General features: G+C 42.5%; 1 annotated feature.

Annotated features, from left to right (window-relative positions):
• Nucleotides 1510-2709: an enhancer, noted in NCBI's record as "P300/CBP strongly-dependent group 1 enhancer chr9:111396539-111397738 (GRCh37/hg19 assembly coordinates)". NCBI's record gives its function as "activates an origin of replication core promoter dependent on BRD2, BRD4, P300/CBP, MED14 and CDK7 cofactors, with strong dependence on P300/CBP, by STARR-seq in HCT116 cells {active_cell/tissue: HCT116}" and the evidence as "EXISTENCE:reporter gene assay evidence [ECO:0000049][PMID:35650434]".

Genomic DNA, 3117 nt, shown 5'->3' on the forward strand with positions numbered 1-3117 from the left:
ATTTCTTTTCCCAAATCATGTTATTTGGGGAACAGTTGAAGGAGTATTTGGGCTTTTAGTTTGGAAAAAATGAAGTCTCAGAAAACAGCAGAAAGATGGTGAGCAGAGGAGAAGATAGTCTCAAGAATTGTTCTAGGTAGTCCTCAAAGACAAGAATAAAATTGGATGCACATAAGTTCTGAGTTAGGGGATGAGAAGGATGGAGGTGACGTAAAATTTAGTTCACCATAACAGAGAACATTCTAGTATTTGGCTGCTGTGAAAGTTTTCTGAGGAAACCAATTTTCATCTACAAGTTATGATCTTATGAATGATTCTGTTCATTGGAATTGACAAAAAGCTTGATCATTTCAGCCACGGTGGCTCACACCTGTAATCCCAGCACTTTTGGAGGCCAAGGCAGGCAGATTACCTGAGGTCAGAAGTTTGGGATCAGCCTGGCCAACTCAGCAAAACCCTGTCTCTACTAAAAACACAAAAGTTAGCCAGGTATGGTGGCAGGTGCCTATAGTCCCAGCTACTTGAGAGGCTGAAGCAGGAAGGCAGAGGTTGCAGTGAGCCAAGATTGCACCACTACCTGATAGAATGAGACTCAGTCTCAAAACAACAACAAAAACCAACTTGATCATTTCAAAAGGGCAACTTAAAACTCTTCTGCAAGCGTAACAGACACTAAGAATCTACCCAGAGTTACAGTATAAGCCTGCAGATAATCTCTGTTCCAAATCCCCCCACATAGGATTAATTTTTTTTTTGAGACGGATTCTTACTCTGTCACCCAGGCCAGAATGTGGTGACACAATCTCGGCTCACTGCAACCTCCACCTCCTGGGTTCAAGCAGTTCTCCTGCTTCAGTCTCCCAAGTTGCTGGAATTACGGGTGCATGCCACCACGCCTGGCTAATTTTTGTATTTTCAGTAGAAATGGGGTTTCACCATGTTGGCCAGGCTGGTCTCAAACTGACCTCCAGTGATCTGCCTGCCTCAGCCTCCCAAATTGCTGGGAATTAGGTGTGAGCCACCATACCCAGCCCACATAGGATTATTCTAATTAAAGGTCATGGCTTTCCTTTTAAGTCATGATTCCCAGGAGTCATTCTAGAGTCCGGAGTGGCCTCTTCATTTCCCCAGACCAATGCATCATTTGGTGCTTATTAAATAGTGAATAAATGAATGAAGCAAATGACTAAATGAATGATAACTGGTTTCTATCACTTGGAATACATATTTGGTGCATGGTGTTTCTGTCTATTTTCATCATTTGATTGCAAGCATCCTTGACAAAGATGACAGTCACCTCCCAAAATCTGTTGTTTTCCCCCTCCTTAGTAAGAAAATCCCAAACTCCTGAATTTATTCAGAGCAACCATGTACACAGTTAAAGGACTGTATTTCCCAGCCTCCTTAAAAGGTGGATGTGGCCTTTTTACTAAGGCTGACCTATGAGATTTAAGTACTATGTGGTACTTCAGGAAGTGTCCTTAAGAGGAAGGGAAGGGTCCTCCGGTCTTCCCTTCTTCTCACTGCCCGGATTGTAACAGGTGGAGCTCCAGCCACCATCTCAGGCTGTGAGAACAAGGCCACGCCCTCGGGATGGAAATGTTATAACCTGGATGGAGTCCAAGTCCCTGATGACTCTGTGAAGCTGCTGTTGCAAGCACAGGACAACCTACTCCCAGACTGCATTTATGTAAGAAAATAAACCCTTGGATGTTTAAGCTGTTTTAGTAGGGACTCTGCTAATCCCAAGGGACCCTAATCCTAAAACCCACTTTGGTTTTTCTGGTTGTAACAACCAAATCCCAGTGACTCACAGTGCTGCCCCTAACACGTAAGTCTGGACAGACAGACAACCTCCCCTGAATAATTAGTAGCTGAATACATTAATCACAAAGCCGATGTTTTCTGCAAGACTGCCCTTTGACTTTTATTACTTTATAAAATATTTTTCTCTAACAAAGCCTGCCCGTTAACCCTCCTCTGACCAACAGCTGCTGTGCCCCTTTTAGAACAATGCTCAGCGTCATGTCTGCCATTCTGCCCAGTGACGCCTCTCCCCTATTTACCCACCTCAGCCAGTGCTTCTAGTTGGAAAATTTCACAAATACCAGTTCACACTTGCTTCTGATTCTAGGGCCCAAAAATGCCACAGTTCTTGAATGGAGAGTCATCATGACAGTGACTCAACCCAAACTTGAAAGCGAACTTCCACCACCACAGGATTAAACTTGATGGGAATTTGGGGTGTTGGCCTGACATACCAACCCCAGGAACGTGACTCTTTACTCAAGCCTCATCACTAACATCACACATAAGATGCCAAAATAATTTCATTATGTTCCCAGCTATCTATGGTATAATCATGACATTTCAGAAAATGCCTGTCCTATATCCCGGTGCTTAACTTTGTTTTTACATTGAAGCCACAAAAGACATTTCACGTGTGGGGCACTGCTCGAGCCTCTGGATCCCCACGTGATTCATAGGTATGATTTCTCACTTGGGTAGAAATCCATATAAGGTCATCTTTGCTTCCTAAAAATCAGAAAACTCTGTCGCTCTCATGAAACCACTGAAGAACAATTCTGGCTCTAGTTCCCACATTCCATCTGGTTATGTGTGTGCCTGCCTGGTGGCCTCCCTCAACTCTGTCCCCATCGACAATTCTGCCAGCCCCTCACATCCAGACCATAAAAGCCTTCAGAGAAGAGACGCACCTTTTTCTGACTCTATGATGTGTGCATAGTAGGAATTCGACTCACCTTTATTTAATTCAAGTTTTTTACTTAAGAATATTACTAAGAGATTAACCTAATTATAAGATATATATTATATGTATATGAATATAAAATTAATCTAAAGTACTAGGAAATCTCTGAGGTGTAAGCTTCCAGAAAAATCCCACCTCAGTTTGGGAAGAATACTATATACATGTACTCACTCTCCTGCACACACAAGGAAACGCATCCATGGATTTCATTTAGTCTTTTTCTTCCTTTTACATTTTTTTCTTCCACTTACATTTTCCTTTTTCACCTCCCTTGTGCTTCCATAATTCTTATCACCAGCCAAGTGAAGGTTATTCGTAAGCTACAGTCAGATAAAAACAAGAGTGAG

The sequence above is a fragment of the Homo sapiens genome, chromosome 9 (assembly GCF_000001405.40).
Source record: "Homo sapiens chromosome 9, GRCh38.p14 Primary Assembly".
NCBI lineage: Eukaryota > Metazoa > Chordata > Mammalia > Primates > Hominidae > Homo > Homo sapiens.